The following is an 18,454-nucleotide window of genomic DNA, read 5'->3' on the forward strand; positions in this document are numbered from 1 at the left end:
TAACCCTAACCCTAACCCTAACCCTAACCCTAACCGACCCTCACCCTCACCCTAACCACATGAGCAATGTGGGTGTTATATTTTAGCTGTCATGGGTGCATTAGGAATGCTGCATTTGTGTTTCAACGCTGCAACTGGACCCTGCAATGCAGCCCCTCGCCTTGCCTTGGGAGAATCTCGGTGCCCAGGATTCAGAGGGGCTTTTAGTTTCCCATTTTCCACACTGAACCGTTCTAACTGGTCTCTGACCTTGATTATTCACGGCTGCAACCGGGAAAGATTTTATTCACTGTCAATGCGCCCCGAGTTGTCCCAAAGCCAGGCAGTGCCCCCAACGTCTGTGCTTAGCAGAATGCTGCTCCACCTTTACGGTGACCCCCAGGTCTGTGCTGAGCAGAACGCAGCTCCGCCCTCGCAGTACCCTCAGCCCGCCCGCCCGGGTCTGACCTGAGCAGAACTCTGCTCTGCCTTCGCAGTACCACCGAAATCTGTGCAAAGGAGAACGCAGCTCCGCCCTCGCGGTGCTCTCCGCGTCTGTGCTGAGGAGAACGCAACTCCGCCGTCGCAAAGGCGCGCGCCGCGCCGGCGCAGGCGCAGAGGGGCGCGCCGCGCCGGCGCAGGCGCAGAGACACATGCTAGCGCGTCCAGGGGTGGAGGCGTGGCGCAGGCGCAGAGACGCACGCCTACGGGCGGGGGTTGGGGGGGCGTGTGTTGCAGGAGCAAAGTCGCACGGCGCCGGCCTGGGGGCGGGGGGTGGGGGGCGCCGTTGCACGCGCAGAAACTCACGTCACGGTGGCGCGGCGCAGAGACGGGTGGAACCTCAGTAATCCGAAAAGCCGGGATCGACCGCCCCTTGCTTGCAGCCGGGCACTACAGGACCCGCTTGCTCACGGTGCTGTGCCAGGGCGCCCCCTGCTGGCGACTAGGGCAACTGCAGGGCTCTCTTGCTTAGAGTGGTGGCCAGCGCCCCCTGCTGGCGCCGGGGCACTGCAGGGCCCTCTTGCTTACTGTATAGTGGTGGCACGCCGCCTGCTGGCAGCTAGGGACATTGCAGGCTCCTCTTGCTCAAAGTGTAGTGGCAGCACGCCCGCCTGCTGGCAGCTGGGGACACTGCCGGGCCCTCTTGCTCCAACAGTAGTGGCGGATTATAGGGAAACACCCGGAGCATATGCTGTTTGGTCTCAGTAGACTCCTAAATATGGGATTCCTGGGTTTAAAAGTATAAAATAAATATGTTTAATTTGTTAACTGATTACCATCAGAATTATACTGTTCTGTATCCCACCAGCAATGTCTAGGAATACCTGTTTCTCCACAAAGTGTTTACTTTTGGATTTTTGCCAGTCTAGCAGGTGAAGCCCTGGAGATTCTTATTAGTCATTTGGGCTGGGGCCTGGCCATGTGTATTTTTTTAAATTTCCACTGATGATTTTGCTGCATGGCCGGTGTTGAGAATGACTGCGCAAATTTGCCGGATTTCCTTTGCTGTTCCTGCATGTAGTTTAAACGAGATTGCCACCACCGGGTATCATTCACCATTTTTCTTTTTGTTAACTTGCCGTCAGCCTTTTCTTTGACCTCTTCTTTCTCTTCATGTGTATTTGCTGTCTCTTAGCCCAGACTTCCCGTGTCCTTTCCACCGGGCCTTTGAGAGGTCACAGGGTCTTGATGCTGTGGTCTTGATCTGCAGGTGTCTGACTTCCAGCAACTGCTGGCCTGTGCCAGGGTGCAAGCTGAGCACTGGAGTGGAGTTTTCCTGTGGAGAGGAGCCATGCCTAGAGTGGGATGGGCCATTGTTCATCTTCTGGCCCCTGTTGTCTGCATGTAACTTAATACCACAACCAGGCATACGGGAAAGATTGGAGGAAAGATGAGTGAGAGCATCAACTTCTCTGACAACCTAGGCCAGTAAGTAGTGCTTGTGCTCATCTCCTTGGCTGTGATACGTGGCCGGCCCTCGCTCCAGCAGCTGGACCCCTACCTGCCGTCTGCTGCCATCGGAGCCCAAAGCCGAGCTGTGACTGCTCAGACCAGCCGGCTGGAGGGAGGGGCTCAGCAGGTCTGGCTTTGGCCCTGGGAGAGCAGGTGGAAGATCAGGCAGGCCATCGCTGCCGCAGAACCCAGTGGATTGGCCTAGGTGGGATCTCTGAGCTCAACAAGCCCTCTCTGGGTGGTAGGTGCAGAGAGGGGAGGGGCAGAGCCGCAGGCACAGCCAAGAGGGCTGAAGAAATGGTAGAACGGAGCAGCTGGTGATGTGTGGGCCCACCGGCCCCAGGCTCCTGTCTCCCCCCAGGTGTGTGGTGATGCCAGGCATGCCCTTCCCCAGCATCAGGTCTCCAGAGCTGCAGAAGACGACGGCCGACTTGGATCACACTCTTGTGAGTGTCCCCAGTGTTGCAGAGGTGAGAGGAGAGTCGACAGTGAGTGGGAGTGGCGTCACCCCTAGGGCTCTACTGGGCCGGCGTCTCCTGTCTCCTGGAGAGGCTTCGATGCCCCTCCACACCCTCTTGCTCTTCCCTGTGATGTCATCTGGAGCCCTGCTGCTTGCGGTGGCCTATAAAGCCTCCTGGTCTGGCTCCAAGGCCTGGCAGAGTCTTTCCCAGGGAAAGCTATAAGCAGCAAACAGTCCGCATGGGTCATCCCCTTCACTCCCAGCTCAGAGCCCAGGCCAGGGGCCCCCAAGAAAGGCTCTGGTGGAGAACCTGTGCATGAAGGCTGTCAACCAGTCCATAGGCAAGCCTGGCTGCCTCCAGCTGGGTGGACAGACAGGGGCTGGAGAAGGGGAGAAGAGGAAAGGGGAGTTGCCTGCCCTGTCTCCTACCTGAGGCTGAGGAAGGAGAAGGGGATGCACTGTTGGGGAGGCAGCTGTAACTCAAAGCCTTAGCCTCTGTTCCCATGAAGGCAGGGCCATCAGGCACCAAAGGGATTCTGCCAGCATAGTGCTCCTGGACCAGTGATACACCCGGCACCCTGTCCTGGACAGGCTGTTGGCCTGAATCTGAGCCCTCGTGGAGGTCAAAGCAACCTTTGGTTCTGCCATTGCTGCTGTGTGGAAGTTCACTCCTGCCTTTTCCTTTCCCTAGAGCCTCCACCACCCCGAGATCACATTTCTCACTGCCTTTTGTCTGCCCAGTTTCACCAGAAGTAGGCCTCTTCCTGACAGGCAGCTGCACCACTGCCTGGCGCTGCGCCCTTCCTTTGCTCTGCCCGCTGGAGACGGTGTTTGTCATGGGCCTGGTCTGCAGGGATCCTGCTACAAAGGTGAAACCCAGGAGAGTGTGGAATCCAGAGTGTTGCCAGGACCCAGGCACAGGCATTAGTGCCCGTTGGAGAAAACAGGGGAATCCCGAAGAAATGGTGGGTCCTGGCCATCCGTGAGATCTTCCCAGGGCAGCTCCCCTCTGTGGAATCCAATCTGTCTTCCATCCTGCGTGGCCGAGGGCCAGGCTTCTCACTGGGCCTCTGCAGGAGGCTGCCATTTGTCCTGCCCACCTTCTTAGAAGCGAGACGGAGCAGACCCATCTGCTACTGCCCTTTCTATAATAACTAAAGTTAGCTGCCCTGGACTATTCACCCCCTAGTCTCCATTTAAAAAGATCCCCATGGCCACAGGGCCCCTGCCTGGGGGCTTGTCACCTCCCCCACCTTCTTCCTGAGTCACTCCTGCAGCCTTGCTCCCTAACCTGCCCCACAGCCTTGCCTGGATTTCTATCTCCCTGGCTTGGTGCCAGTTCCTCCAAGTCGATGGCACCTCCCTCCCTCTCAACCACGTGAGCAAACTCCAAGACATCTTCTACCCCAACACCAGCAATTGTGCCAAGGGCCATTAGGCTCTCAGCATGACTATTTTTAGAGACCCCGTGTCTGTCACTGAAACCTTTTTTGTGGGAGACTATTCCTCCCATCTGCAACAGCTGCCCCTGCTGACTGCCCTTCTCTCCTCCCTCTCATCCCAGAGAAACAGGTCAGCTGGGAGCTTCTGCCCCCACTGCCTAGGGACCAACAGGGGCAGGAGGCAGTCACTGACCCCGAGACGTTTGCATCCTGCACAGCTAGAGGTCCTTTATTAAAAGCACACTGTTGGTTTCTGCTCAGTTCTTTATTGATTGGTGTGCCGTTTTCTCTGGAAGCCTCTTAAGAGAAGAACACAGTGGCGCAGGCTGGGTGGAGCCGTCCCCCCATGGAGCACAGGCAGACAGAAGTCCCCGCCCCAGCTGTGTGGCCTCAAGCCAGCCTTCCGCTCCTTGAAGCTGGTCTCCACACAGTGCTGGTTCCGTCACCCCCTCCCAGGGAAGCAGGTCTGAGCAGCTTGTCCTGGCTGTGTCCATGTCAGAGCAACGGCCAAGTCTGGGTCTGGGGGGGAAGGTGTCATGGAGCCCCCTACGATTCCCAGTCGTCCTCGTCCTCTGCCTGTGGCTGCTGCGGTGGCGGCAGAGGAGGGATGGAGTCTGACACGCGGGCAAAGGCTCCTCCGGGCCCGTCACCAGCCCCAGGTCCTTTCCCAGAGATGCCTGGAGGGAAAAGGCTGAGTGAGGGTGGTTGGTGGGAAACCCTGGTTCCCCCAGCCCCCGGAGACTTAAATACAGGAAGAAAAAGGCAGGACAGAATTACAATGTGCCGGCCCAGGGTGGGCAGCGGCCCTGCCTCCTACCCTTGCGCCTCATGACCAGCTTGTTGAAGAGATCCGACATCAAGTGCCCACCTTGGCTCGTGGCTCTCACTGCAACGGGAAAGCCACAGACTGGGGTGAAGAGTTCAGTCACATGCGACCGGTGGCTCCCTGTCCCCACCCCCATGACACTCCCCAGCCCTCCAAGGCCACTGTGTTTCCTAGTTAGCTCAGAGCCTCAGTCGATGCCTGACCCAGCACCGGGCACTGATGAGAAAGTGGCTGTTTGAGGAGCCACCTCCCAGCCACCTCGGGGACAGGGCCAGGGTGTGCAGCACCACTGTACGATGGGGAAACTGGCCCAGAGAGGTGAGGCAGCTTGCCTGGGGTCACAGAGCAAGGCAAAAGCAGCGCTGGGTACAAGCTCAAAACCATAGTGCCCAGGGCACTGCCGCTGCAGGCGCAGGCATCGCATCACACCAGTGTCTGCGTTCACAGCAGGCATCATCAGTAGCCTCCAGAGGCCTCAGGTCCAGTCTCTAAAAATATCTCAGGAGGCTGCAGTGGCTGACCATTGCCTTGGACCGCTCTTGGCAGTCGAAGAAGATTCTCCTGTCACAGTTTGAGCTGGGTGAGCTTAGAGAGGAAAGCTCCACTATGGCTCCCAAACCAGGAAGGAGCCATAGCCCAGGCAGGAGGGCTGAGGACCTCTGGTGGCGGCCCAGGGCTTCCAGCATGTGCCCTAGGGGAAGCAGGGGCCAGCTGGCAGGAGCAGGGGGTGGGCAGAAAGCACCCGGTGGACTCAGGGCTGGAGGGGAGGAGGCGATCTTGCCCAAAGGCCCTCCGACCGCAGGCTCCAGGGCCCGCTCACCTTGCTCCTGCTCCTTCTGCTGCTGCTTCTCCAGCTTTCGCTCCTTCATGCTGCGCAGCTTGGCCTTGCCGATGCCCCCAGCTTGGCGGATGGACTCTAGCAGAGTGGCCCAGCCACCGGAGGGGTCGACCACTTCTCTGGGAGCTCCCTGGACTGGAGCCGGGAGGTGGGGAACAGGGCAAGGAGGAAAGGCTGCTCAGGCAGGGCTGGGGAAGCTTACTGTGTCCAAGAGCCTGCTGGGAGGGAAGTCACCTCCCCTCAAACGAGGAGCCCCGCGCTGGGGAGGCCGGACCTTTGGAGACTGTGTGGGGCCCGGGCACTGACTTCGGCAACCACCTGAGCGCGGGCATCCTGTGTGCAGATACTCCCTGCTTCCTCTCTAGCCCTCACCCTGCAGAGCTGGACCCCTGAGCTAGCCATGCTCTGACAGTCTCAGTTGCACACATGAGCCAGCAGAGGGGTTTTGTGCCACTTCTGGATGCTAGGGTTACACTGGGAGATACAGCAGTGAAGCTGAAATGAAAAATGTGTTGCTGTAGTTTGTTATTAGACCCCTTCTTTCCATTGGTTTAATTAGGAATGAGGAACCCAGAGCCTCACTTGTTCAGGCTCCCTCTGCCCTAGAAGTGAGAAGTCCAGAGCTCTACAGTTTGAAAGCCACTATTTTATGAACCAAGTAGAACAAGATATTTGAAATGGAAACTATTCAAAAAATTGAGAATTTCTGACCACTTAACAAACCCACAGAAAATCCACCCGAGTGCACTGAGCACGCCAGAAATCAGGTGGCCTCAAAGAGCTGCTCCCACCTGAAGGAGATGCGCTGCTGCTGCTGTCGTCCTGCCTGGCGCCTTGGCCTACAGGGGCCGCGGTTGAGGGTGGGAGTGGGGGTGCACTGGCCAGCACCTCAGGAGCTGGGGGTGGTGGTGGGGGCGGTGGGGGTGGTGTTAGTACCCCATCTTGTAGGTCTGAAACACAAAGTGTGGGGTGTCTAGGGAAGAAGGTGTGTGAGCAGGGAGGTCCCCGGCCCAGCTCCCATCCCAGAACCCAGCTCACCTACCTTGAGAGGCTCGGCTACCTCAGTGTGGAAGGTGGGCAGTTCTGGAATGGTGCCAGGGGCAGAGGGGGCAATGCCGGGGCCCAGGTCGGCAATGTACATGAGGTCGTTGGCAATGCCGGGCAGGTCAGGCAGGTAGGATGGAACATCAATCTCAGGCACCTGGCCCAGGTCTGGCACATAGAAGTAGTTCTCTGGGACCTGCAAGATTAGGCAGGGACATGTGAGAGGTGACAGGGACCTGCAGGGGCAGCCAACAAGACCTTGTGTGCACCTCCCATGGGTGGAATAAGGGGCCCAACAGCCTTGACTGGAGAGGAGCTCTGGCAAGGCCCTGGGCCACTGCACCTATCTCCACCTCTGTCCCGCCCCTCCCACCTGCTGTTCCAGCTGCTCTCTCTTGCTGATGGACAAGGGGGCATCAAACAGCTTCTCCTCTGTCTCTGCCCCCAGCATCACATGGGTCTTTGTTACAGCACCAGCCAGGGGGTCCAGGAAGACATACTTCTTGTACCTACAGAGGCGACATGGGGGTCAGGCAAGCTGACACCCGCTGTCCTGAGCCCATGTTCCTCTCCCACATCATCAGGGGCACAGTGTGCACTGTGGGGTCCCAGGCCTCCCGAGCCGAGCCACCCCAGTCACCCCCTGGCTCCTGGGCTATGTGCTGTACCTGTGTCTGATGCCCTGGGTCCCCACTAAGCCAGGCCGGGCCTACCGCCCACACCCCTCGGCCCTGCCTTCTGGCCATACAGGTTCTCGGTGGTGTTGAAGAGCAGCAAGGAGCTGACAGAGCTGATGTTGCTGGGAAGACCCCCAAGTCCCTCTTCTGCATCGTCCTCGGGCTCTGGCTTGGTGCTCACGCACACAGGAAAGTCCTTCAGCTTCTCCTGGGAGGGCCAGGATGGCCAAGGGATGGTGAATATTTGGTGCTGGGCCTAATCAGCTGCCACCCCATCCCAGTCAGCCTCCTCTGGGGGACAGAACCCTTGGTGGCCCCGGCTCCTCCCCAGTATCCAGTCCTCCTGGTGTGTGACAGGCTAAGTTATGTGCGCAGCCAGCAGACTTGCAGGGCCCGCTCGTCCAGGGGGCGCTGCTTGCTCTGGATCCTGTGGCGGGGGCGTCTCTGCAGGCCAGGGTCCTGGGCGTCGGTGAAGATGGAGCCATATTCCTGCAGGCGCTCTGGAGCAGGGTACTTGGCACTGGAGAACACCTGTGGACACAGGGACAAGTCTGAGGGGGCCCCAAGAGGCTCAGAGGGCTAGGATTGCTTGGCAGGAGAGGGTGGAGTTGGAAGCCTGGGCGAGAAGAAAGCCCAAGGTACAGGTGGGCAGCAGGGCAGAGACTGGGCAGCCTCAGAGGCACGGGGAAATAGAGGGACTGCCCAGTAGCCTCAGGACACAGGGGCATGGGGACTACCTTGATGGCCTTCTTGCTGCCCTTGATCTTCTCAATCTTGGCCTGGGCCAAGGAGACCTTCTCTCCAATGGCCTGCACCTGGCTCCGGCTCTGCTCTACCTGCTGGGAGATCCTGCCATGGAGAAGATCACAGAGGCTGGGCTGCTCCCCACCCCCTGCACACCTCCTGCTTCTAACAGCAGAGCTGCCAGGCCAGGCCCTCAGGCAAGGGCTCTGAAGTCAGGGTCACCTGCTTGCCAGGGCCGATCTTGGTGCCATCCAGGGGGCCTCTACAAGGATAATCTGACCTGCAGGGTCGAGGAGTTGACGGTGCTGAGTTCCCTGCACTCTCACTAGGGACAGGCCCTATGCTGCCACCTGTACATGCTATCTGAAGGACAGCCTCCAGGGCACACAGAGGATGGTATTTACACATGCACACATGGCTACTGATGGGGCAAGCACTTCACAACCCCTCATGATCACGTGCAGCAGACAAAGTGACCTCTGCAGAGGGGGAACGGAGACCGGAGGCTGAGACTGGCAAGGCTGGACCTGAGTGTCGTCACCTAAATTCAGACGGGGAACTGCCCCTGCACCTAGTGAACGGCTCACTGAGCAAACTCTGAGTCCCGACCACCGCCTCAGTGTGGTCTAGCTCCTCACCTGCTTCCATCCTCCCTGGTGCGGGGTGGGCCCAGTGATATCAGCTGCCTGCTGTTCCCCAGATGTGCCAAGTGCATTCTTGTGTGCTTGCATCTCATGGAACGCCATTTCCCCAGACATCCCTGTGGCTGGCTCCTGATGCCCGAGGCCCAAGTGTCTGATGCTTTAAGGCACATCACCCCACTCATGCTTTTCCATGTTCTTTGGCCGCAGCAAGGCCGCTCTCACTGCAAAGTTAACTCTGATGCGTGTGTAACACAACATCCTCCTCCCAGTCGCCCCTGTAGCTCCCCTACCTCCAAGAGCCCAGCCCTTGCCCACAGGGCCACACTCCACGTGCAGAGCAGCCTCAGCATTCACCGGGCACGAGCGAGCCTGTGTGGTGCGCAGGGATGAGAAGGCAGAGGCGCGACTGGGGTTCATGAGGAAGGGCAGGAGGAGGGTGTGGGATGGTGGAGGGGTTTGAGAAGGCAGAGGCGCGACTGGGGTTCATGAGGAAAGGGAGGGGGAGGATGTGGGATGGTGGAGGGGCTGCAGACTCTGGGCTAGGGAAAGCTGGGATGTCTCTAAAGGTTGGAACGAATGGCCTAGAATCCGACCCAATAAGCCAAAGCCACTTCCACCAACGTTAGAAGGCCTTGGCCCCCAGAGAGCCAATTTCACAATCCAGAAGTCCCCGTGCCCTAATGGGTCTGCCCTGATTACTCCTGGCTCCTTGTGTGCAGGGGGCTCAGGCATGGCAGGGCTGGGAGTACCAGCAGACACTCAAGCGGCTTAAGTGTTCCATGACAGACTGGTATGAAGGTGGCCACAATTCAGAAAGAAAAAAGAAGAGCACCATCTCCTTCCAGTGAGGAAGCGGGGCCACCACCCAGCGTGTGCTCCATCTTTTCTGGCTGGGGAGAGGCCTTCATCTGCTGTAAAGGGTCCTCACCCTGACCCTGACCCTCACCCTGACCCTGACCCTAAAACCCTGACCCTAAAACCCTGACCCTAACCCTGACCCTGACCCTAACCCTGACCCTGACCCTAACCCTGACCCGGACCCTGAACCCTAATCCGGACCCTGAACCCTAACCCGGACCACTGAACCCTAACACCGACCCTGAACCCTAACCCCGACCCTCACCCTGACCCTCACCCTACCCTGACCCTCACCCTGACCCTGACCCTGACCCTCACCCTGACCCTGACTCTGACCCTGACCCTGACCCTGACTCTAACCCTAACCCTGACCCTGACCCTGACCCTGACCCTGACCCTTGACCCTGACCCTGACCCTGACCCTTGACCCTGACCCCGATTTCATTCATTTGATCTTCAATCACTGATACCCTTTCTTCCAGTTGATCGCATCGGCTACTAAAGCTTGTGCATTCGTCACATAGTTCTCGTGCCATGGTTTTCACCTCCATCAGGACTTCTCTGCATTGGTTATTCTAGTTAGCCATTCATCTAATCTTTTTTTCAAGGTCTTTAACTTCTTTGCACTGGGTTCGAACTTCGTCCTTTAGCTCGGAGAAGTTTGATCATCTGAAGCCTTCTTTTCTCAACTCGTCAAAGTCATTCTCCGTCCACCTTTGTTCCATTGTTGGTGAGGAGCTTTGTTCCTTTGGAGGAAGAGAGGCGCTCTGATTTTTAGAATTTTCAGTTTTTCTGCTCTGTTTTTTCCCTATCTTTGTGGTTTTATCTACCTTTGGTCTCTGATGATGGTGACGTACAGATGGGGTTTTTGTGTGGATGTCCTTTCTGTTTGTTAGTTTTCCTTCTAACAGTCAGGACCCTCAGCTGCAGGTCTGTTGGAGTTTGCTGGAGGTCCACTCCAGACCCTGTTTGCCTGGGTATCAGCAGTGGAGGCTGCAGAAGAGTGAATATTGCTGAACACCAAATGTTGCTGCCCGATCGTTCCTCTGGAAGCTTGGTCTCAGAGGGGTACCCGGCAATGTGAGGTGTCAGTCTGCCCCTACTGGGGGGTACCTCCCAGATAGGCTACCCGGGGGTCAGGGACCCACTTGAGGAGGCAGTTTGTCTGTTCTCAGATCTCAAACTCCGTGCTTGGAGAACCACTACTCTCTTCAAAGCTGTCAGACAGGGACATTTAAGTCTGCAGAGATTTCTGTTGCCTTTTGTTCGACTATGCCCTGCCCCCAGAAGTGGAGTCTACAGAGGCAGGCAGGCCTCCTTGAGCTGTGGTGGGTTCCACCCAGTTCAAGCTTCCCAGCCACTTTGTTTACCTACTCAAGCCTCAGCAATGGCGGGCACCCCTCCACCAGCCTTGCTGCCACCTTGCAGTTCAATCTCAGACTGCTGTGCTAGCAATGAGCGAGGCTCCGTGGGTGTGGGACCCTCCGAGCCAGGCGTGGGATATAATCTCCTGGTGTGCGGTTTGCTAAGACCGTTGGAAAAGCGCAGTATTAGGGTGGGAGTGACCCTATTTTCCAGGTGCCATCTGTCACAGCTTCCCTTGGCTAGGAAAGGGAATTCCCTGACCCCTTGTGCTTCCCGGGTGAGGCGATGTCTCGCCCTGCTTCGGCTCAAGCTTGGTGGGCTGCACCCACTGTCTGACAAGCCCCAGTGAGATGAACCCAGTACCACAGTTGGAAATGCAGAAATCACCCATCTTCTGCGTCACTCAGGCTGGGAGCTGTAGACTGGAGCTGTTCCTATTCCATGTCTTTATCTTTTAATTGGGTTGTTTTTCTTCTTGTTGAGTATTAGAATGTCTTTGTATATTTTGCATGCAAGTCTTTTTTTCAGGCTTGTTTTATAAATATTTTCTCTCAGTGTGTGCCTTATTTTTTGATTCTCTTAGCAGGATATTTCACAGAGTAGTCATTTTAAATTTTAATGATGTCCAAATTATCATTTTTTTTCTTTTATGGACTGGCTTTTGGTATTGTATCTAAGAACTCATCACCAACCCAAAGTCACGTGGATTTTCTTCTATAAAACTTTTACAATTTTATATTTGATCATTTAAGGCTACAGACTATCTTGAGTGATTTTTTGGGGGTGAGCTATGAAGTTTTTGTCCACATTCAGTGTTTTCCGTATGGTTTCCGATTGTCTATTGCCATTTGTGGAACAGACTTTTCTTTCCCCAGTGAATTGCTTTTGCCCCTTTGACAAAATCAATTGAATGTATTTACTCGGGTTTTTTGGGTTCTGTATTGTGTTCTGTTGAGCTGTTTGTCCATTCCTTCACCAATATCACTCTCTTCATTGCTTTAGCTTTGTGGTAAAGCTAACAATAATGAGTGTACTGCTCCTAAACAAGGAGTATCTGCATTTATTTAATATTTTTTATTCTTCTCAACCGTGATCTAAAGTTTTCTGAATGCATATTTGTATGTATTTTGTTAGATTTATACCTAATAAATTAAATTTTGGGAATGCTATTGTAAATGGTATTTTTTTCAAATTTCAAGTTCAAATTATTCCTATACATTATTGCTGATGATAGAAAGAAAATCAGGCAGTGTGTGGTGGCTCACGCCCGTAATCCTAGCACTTTGGGAGGCCTAGTTGGGAGGATCATTTGAGCTTGGGAGTTCTAGACCAGCCTGGGCAACATAGTTAGACCTGCCCCGCCCATAAAAAATAAAATAATAAATAAAGGAAAATCAGGTGGTGCCGGACACAGTTGTTCACACCTGTAATCCCAGTGTGTTGGGAGGCTGAGGCTGGAGAATTTCTTGAACCCGGGAGCTGGAGGCTGAACTCGGGAGCTGTGATTACACCACTGCACTTCAGCATGGGTGACAGAGCGAGACCCTGTCTCTTAAAGAGAAAAGAAAGAAAATCAATTAAGTTTTGCCTACTGGCCATCTTTTTTTTGAGATGGAGTTTGGCTCTGTCACCCAGGTTGGAGTGCAGTGACATGATCTTGGCTCACTGCAACCTGCGCCTCCTGGGTTCGAGCAATCCTCCTGCCTCAGCCTCCTGAGTAGCTGGGATTACAGGCACGTGCCGCCATGCCCAGCTAATTTTTGTATTTTTAGTATAGACGCGGTTTCACCATGTTAGCCAGGCTGGTCTCAAACTCTGGACCTGAAGTAATCCGCCCGCTTCAGCCTCCCAAAATGCTGGGATTACAGGCATGAACTGGCCATCTTCTTTGCTTCCTTGCTCCATGAGTTCCGATCAAGGCATGGGATGGTGGGCTCCATTTCAGTCGTAATTTCCAAAATCCACAGCCTGGAAAAATCTAGACGCTGATTTTCAGAGACTCCCCATGGCTGCCGCAAGGGGGCGCATGGCCCCTGGCAACTCGGGGCGCCGTGCACGCACCGCGTCTCATCCACACAGCGGCAGTCACTTTGCGGCCACTATGAGGACTGAGCTTCCTCTCCCCAGGACCCGCATGGGAGAGACCGCGGCTTCGAGACACCTGGGGACACCTGGGGACACCTGGGGCGGCGTCCGCGGTGAGGACTGGGAGACGCTGCTGCATCTCCGGGACACCACTTGGGGCCGAGGCCAAGGTGAGGAAAAGGCTTCCCGCCCCCGCTGTGAGTGTGGCGGAGCGAGCGCGGCTGCATTTCCCGTCGTGCACTTTGTAGCAGGACCTCACTTTGTAGGAGATTCCCCTTCATGGAGGCTTGGGCGGGTCACCCCCAGTGCAGGCCAAGATGCAGGTTACGGATGTGAGTTTCTTTCTGGGAAGAGACCCTGGTACCGGGAGAGGAGGAAGAACGCGGAGACGCTGTCGGGAGATCAGCCTGAGGCCGAGGAAACAGGCCCCTGGGATCAGTGCTGGATGTTTGTTTTTGATTTTGTTTTTTGCTTTTTGTTTTTTTTTTTTTTTTTTTTTTTTTGGAGACGGCGTCTCGCTCTGTCACCCAGGCTGGAGTGCAGTGGCGCAATCTCCGCTGACTGCAACCTCTGCCTCCATGGTTCAAGCGATTCTCCTACCTCAGCCTCCCAAAGCTGGCACTACAGGAGCAGGCCACCATGTCCAGCTAATTTTTATATGTTTTGTAGAGACGGGGTTTCACCACGTTGAGCAGGATGATCTCAATCTCCTGACCTCGTGATCTGCCCGCCTCGGCCTCCCAAAGTGCTGGGATTACAGGTGTGAGCCACCATGCCCTGCCCTCTTTCTTTTTGAGAGGAAGCCTCACTCTGTCGACTAGGATGGAGTGCAGGTGTGCAATCTCTGCTCACTGCAACCTCCGCTTCCTGGGCTCAAGCGATTCTCCTCCCTCAGCCTCCCAAGTAGCTGGGACTACATACAGTTGTGCGCCACGGCGCCCAGCTAATTTTTTTTTTTTTTTTTTTTTTTGTATTTTTAGTAGAGACGGGGGTTTCACCATGTTGGCCAGGTTGGTCTCGAACTCACTGAGCTCAAGTGATCCTCCTGCCTCGGCCTCCTAAAGTGCTGGGATTACAGGCGTGAACTGGCCATCTTCTTTGCTTGCTGTCTCCATGGGTTTCGATCGGGGCACGGGATGGTGGGCTCCATGTCAGTTGAAATTTCCAAAATCACGGCATGGAAAAATCCAAACGCTAATTTTCAGGGATTCTCCACGGCTGCCATTAGGGGGCCCGGCCAAACCCGGAGCGCCACAGTAGAACTGCGTCTGATCCGTACAGCGGCATCCCTGGGTGTGAGGACTGTGAGGACGGAGTTTTCTCTCCTCAGGACCCACCCAGGAGGGGCCATGGCTTCGAGACACCTGAGGACACCTGGGGCCACGTCCGCGATGAGGACATCTCTGGGACACCTGGGGCTGCATCTCCGGGACACCTGGGGCTGACCCTGGTACGGGGAAAGGAGGAGGAACACAGAGACGCCCTCGTGAGGTCGGGGACCAGCAGGCACCACAGTCTAAGGCCAATGAAACAGGCGCCCCTAGATGAGTGCTCGGTGTTTGTTTTGTTTTGTTTTCTTTTGAGAAGGAGTTTCGCTCTTGCTCCCCAGGCTGGAGTGCGATGTCGCGATCTCGACTCACTGCAACCTCTGCCTCCCGGGTTCAAGCGATTCTCCTGCCTCAGCCTCCCGAGTAGCTGGGATTACAGTCATGCGCCATCACGCCCGGCTAATTTTGTAGTTTTAGTAGAGACGGTGTTTCTCCATGTTGATCAGGCTGGTCTCGAACTCCTGATCTCAGGTGATCCACCCACCTCGGCCTCCCAAAGTGCTGGAATTACAGGCGTGACCCACTGGGCCCGGCCAGTGCTTTGTGTTTTAAGGCTCTTTTGTTAACGCAGTGGAAACAACACAGGAAATGGAAAAGCAGGCACATTATCATTCTCAGGCCACTGCATTTAGCCTGGGCGACAGAGCGAGACCTTGTCTCAAAAAACAAAAACAAATGAAAACAAAAACAAACCATTTTGTGTGTCTAATGGAAGTGACCTCGTCAACAACAGTCTTTTGTTGAGAAAGTCTGTTTAATTGGCAGTGTATTTGTAATGGTACATAAAATGACGTCTGCTTTATAAGCATTCTCATTCCTATATTAGATGAAATGTATTAACTATATCAAGCTTTGATATTATACCATAAAATTACTTGAAGAAAGTCACTACTCTTTTTTTTCCTTTACCTTGACCATTTTAAATAAAATCATATTTCATTAAGGTTAGTTAATACTGAGCTGTAAATATGTATGGTCCTGGGGTCTTTTCTTTCTTTTTTCCTTTTTTTTTTTTTTTTTTTGAAACGGAGTCTCGCTCTGTCTCCCAGGCTGGAGTGCAGTGGCGCAATCTCGGCTCACCGCAACCTCCACCTCCTGGGTTTGAGCAATTCTCTGCCTCAGCCTCCTAAGTAGCTGGGATTATAGTCACTTACCACCATGCCTGGCTAATTTTTTTTTTTTATATATTTTTAGTAGAGATGGGGTTTCACCATCTTGGCCAGGCTGGTATTGAACTCCTGACCTTGTGGTCCACCCACCTCGGCCTCCCAAAGTGCTGGGATTACAGACATGCGCCACTGCTCCTGGCCTCTTTTCTTTTTTTGACATGGAGTCTCACTTTGTTGCCCAGGCTGGAGTGCAGTGGCGTGATCTCGGCTCACTGCAACCTCTGCCTCCCGGATTCAAGTGATTCTCCTACTTCAGCCTCCCGAGTACCTGGGATTACAGGCCTGAACAACCATGCCCAGCTAATTATTTTTGTATTTTTCATAGAGATGATAGGGTTTTGCCATGTTGCCCAGACTGGTCTCAAACTTCTGGGCTCAAGCAGTCTGCTTGCCTCAGCCTCTCAAAGTGCTGGGATTACAGGCATGAGCCACCATGCCAGGCCTGTCTCATTCCAATAAGGAATTATTAGCTTTTTCTGAGCACCACTGTGTGCAGGTGTCTTGCTCAGGTGAACTCACAGCAGTCTGCTAGGTATGGCTAGCACCCTGTGCAGAGGGGAGGGCCAGGCTTAGGTGACTGAGTGACTCACCTACAAATTACACAGCCTCCAGTGGCTTCACTCTCAGGTTCCAGCCCAGAACCAGCTCTCCAGGGCCCACTCAGGGAAAGTTTATGAGTTGAATGAAGACGTGTCCAGGCCACACAGGAGAGGCATCCCAATTGTGGGTTCGTTTATGTGATCATGAGGTAGCCCAGGTCACACATGGAGCCTCATGAGCCACACAGCCCCTGTTATAAATACACTAGCCCGGGGCTCCCCAGAGCCCAGCTCCAGGAAGTGGATTCACACTAGTATTTTTATACTTGGTTAGAGCTGAGGATGCCTGTACCTCGCTTCCGTCCACACCCCTCCCACTCTCTGGATGCTAAAGATACATTCTGGGGCCTGCCTCGCCCCCACAGACCAGGATCCAGCTCTGCTGAGGCTCCCCACAAAACCCCAGAAGCTCTGCAGGCATGCAGGGTGGGAGGGCTGCCTATCTGAGCCAGAAGGGGCTTTTGCCTTTGGGGGCATCAGGCTACAGGTACTTCTTTCTGCTCAGGTTGCAGGAAGCATGAGAGCACCCAGGAGAGTTGCTCCCTGTAGCTCAGGACCCAGGGAGCTAACAGTCTCCATTTCATCCTGCCTTCAAAACTTCAGCGCTCCCAGCCCCAAAACACTCTTGATGCAGGAAAGGTGAGCCCAGAAATTGGGGTTTAGCACAGGAGGGCTTTTGGCTTCACCCAGGAAAGAATTCAAGGGCGAGTCGGTGGTATTAGAGAGCAACTTTTATTTAAGCAGCTGTGCACAGTGGCAGCAGAGGTACTGCTCCTTATGGAGCAGGGATGCCCCATAGGCAGTGAGCCCAGAGTAGCAGCTCAGAGGCAGTTCTGCACACATATTTATACCCACTTGTAACTATATACAAATTAAGGAGGAGGTTATTTAGAAATTTCTAGAAAAGGGGTGGTAACTTTCAGGTCATTGCCATGGAAAGGGGCAGTAATTTCCAGCTGTTACCATGAGAACGGCAAACTCACTTGGCACCAGTGGGTGTGTCTTATGGAGGGGTGCTTTTGCCTGTTTCAGCTAGTCTGTAATCTGGTCCAGAGTTCAAGCCCTGCCTCAGGAGTCAGGTCCCACCTCCTATCTCAGTCTGGTCACAGCCCTAACTAGGCAGATGATCCCAATGTCAGCCCAAAGCCCAGCAGTCAGGCCCTCCTGTGATCTGCCTGGGGCACCCAGGAAGGGGATGGGGCATGCTGGGATGGGCCATGATGTGTTGGGCCAGAAGTCAGGCCCTCTAGGTTGAAGTCCTAACCCCAGTAGCTGTGAATGTGACCTTATATGGAAATAGTGTCTTTGCAGATGATCAAGTTAAGATTAAATCGTTAGGGCCAGCCTTAATTCACTATTATTGTGATTTTAAAAAGGGGAAATTTGGACACAGAAATGCACACAAGGAAAAATCCCTGTAAAGACTGGAACTTTGGCCAGGCACGGTGGCTCATGCCTGTAATCCCAACACTTTGGGAGGCAGAGACAGACGGATCACTTGATATCAGGAGTTTGAGACCAGCCTGGCCAACATAGCGAAACACCGTCTCTACTAAAAATACAAAAACTAGCCAGGCGTGGTAGCAGGCGCCTGTAATCACAGCTACTCCAAAGGCTGAGGCAGAAGAATTGCTTGAACCTGGGAGGAGGAGGTTGCAGTGAGCCGAGATTGTGCCATTGCACTCCAGCCTGGGCAACAAGAGCAAAACTCCGTCACAAAAACAAAACAAAAGAAAGATTACAGCTTTGGTGTCACAAGCCAAGAAACTAACAGAAGCTGAAGAGAGGCCTGAAACTAATCCTTCCCTAGTGCCTTCAGAGGGAGCATGGCCCTGCTGAGAGAGTATAAATGGGACTCGGCCCACCCCCACTAACGTATTGTTCCATACGTGCCCGCTGACCACTAGACCTTGCAGCACCACCCTCCAGGTGCCATACTCGCTGGCCAGACCTTGCCAACTGTCTGAAATAAACTAAGATAAGCAGCATCCCGCCATAAGTCTTACTGACGGGAGTTGACTCCATCACCTGCTTGTGCACAAGGCCAGGAGAATGACCCTGGTCTTATGATAATACTAAAGTCCTCACCCAGGGAGGGGCTTATCTGCCATTTTCTGATCATGCAACGTATGTGTTAGCATGCGTCTGAGCACCCTTCACTCCACCCCATACGTGCAATGACACTCATGTAGCTCATAAATTATGTATGTCACCCTCCTTAAGACACCACAATGCATTCCCCTTGGGGAGTCAGCCAAGAATTCTTCCTCCTGCACCGTCTCTCTTCTGCCCAAACTTTCGGGGCATAAGACTTAATAAAGTCTTGTCTGGGAAGCTTCCTTGGCCTCATATCAACTTCTGTTTCATGGGAGCCCAAGAACATGTGGTTGGGAACACTGCCAACATCTTTATTTCCAACTTCTGGACTTCAGAATTGTGAGAC

General features: G+C 54.3%; 1 long non-coding RNA gene, 1 other non-coding gene and 2 pseudogenes across 3 annotated transcripts, besides 3 other annotated features; 2 read left to right on the top strand and 2 right to left on the bottom strand.

Annotated features, from left to right (window-relative positions):
* Positions 1-1,554: 1,554 nt before the first annotated feature.
* On the top strand, positions 1,555-4,090 carry DDX11L10 (DEAD/H-box helicase 11 like 10 (pseudogene); annotated as a pseudogene). The gene is made up of 3 exons (NR_045117.1): positions 1,555-1,908; positions 2,294-2,402; positions 2,902-4,090. The product of NR_045117.1 is annotated as a DEAD/H-box helicase 11 like 10 (pseudogene) (transcript).
* Positions 2,868-3,502: an enhancer, noted in NCBI's record as "H3K4me1 hESC enhancer chr16:62868-63502 (GRCh37/hg19 assembly coordinates)". NCBI's record gives its function as "activates a minimal SCP1, AML or CMV promoter by ChIP-STARR-seq in naive H9 embryonic stem cells {active_cell/tissue: H9 hESC(naive)}" and the evidence as "EXISTENCE:reporter gene assay evidence [ECO:0000049][PMID:30033119]".
* Positions 3,503-4,136: an enhancer, noted in NCBI's record as "H3K4me1 hESC enhancer chr16:63503-64136 (GRCh37/hg19 assembly coordinates)". NCBI's record gives its function as "activates a minimal SCP1, AML or CMV promoter by ChIP-STARR-seq in primed H9 embryonic stem cells {active_cell/tissue: H9 hESC(primed)}" and the evidence as "EXISTENCE:reporter gene assay evidence [ECO:0000049][PMID:30033119]".
* Positions 4,081-8,091, bottom strand: WASH4P (WASP family homolog 4, pseudogene; annotated as a pseudogene).
* Positions 4,137-4,770: an enhancer, noted in NCBI's record as "H3K4me1 hESC enhancer chr16:64137-64770 (GRCh37/hg19 assembly coordinates)". NCBI's record gives its function as "activates a minimal SCP1, AML or CMV promoter by ChIP-STARR-seq in primed H9 embryonic stem cells {active_cell/tissue: H9 hESC(primed)}" and the evidence as "EXISTENCE:reporter gene assay evidence [ECO:0000049][PMID:30033119]".
* MIR6859-4 (microRNA 6859-4) lies at positions 7,052-7,119 on the bottom strand. The gene has a single exon (NR_128720.1). It is a non-coding gene; the product is annotated as a microRNA 6859-4 (primary transcript).
* WASIR2 (WASH and IL9R antisense RNA 2) lies at positions 12,916-15,114 on the top strand. Its single transcript, NR_130735.1, has 2 exons — positions 12,916-13,085; positions 14,246-15,114. It is a non-coding gene; the product is annotated as a WASH and IL9R antisense RNA 2 (long non-coding RNA).
* Positions 15,115-18,454: the final 3,340 nt, after the last annotated feature.

The sequence above is a fragment of the Homo sapiens genome, chromosome 16 (assembly GCF_000001405.40).
Source record: "Homo sapiens chromosome 16, GRCh38.p14 Primary Assembly".
NCBI classification, from domain to species: domain Eukaryota; kingdom Metazoa; phylum Chordata; class Mammalia; order Primates; family Hominidae; genus Homo; species Homo sapiens.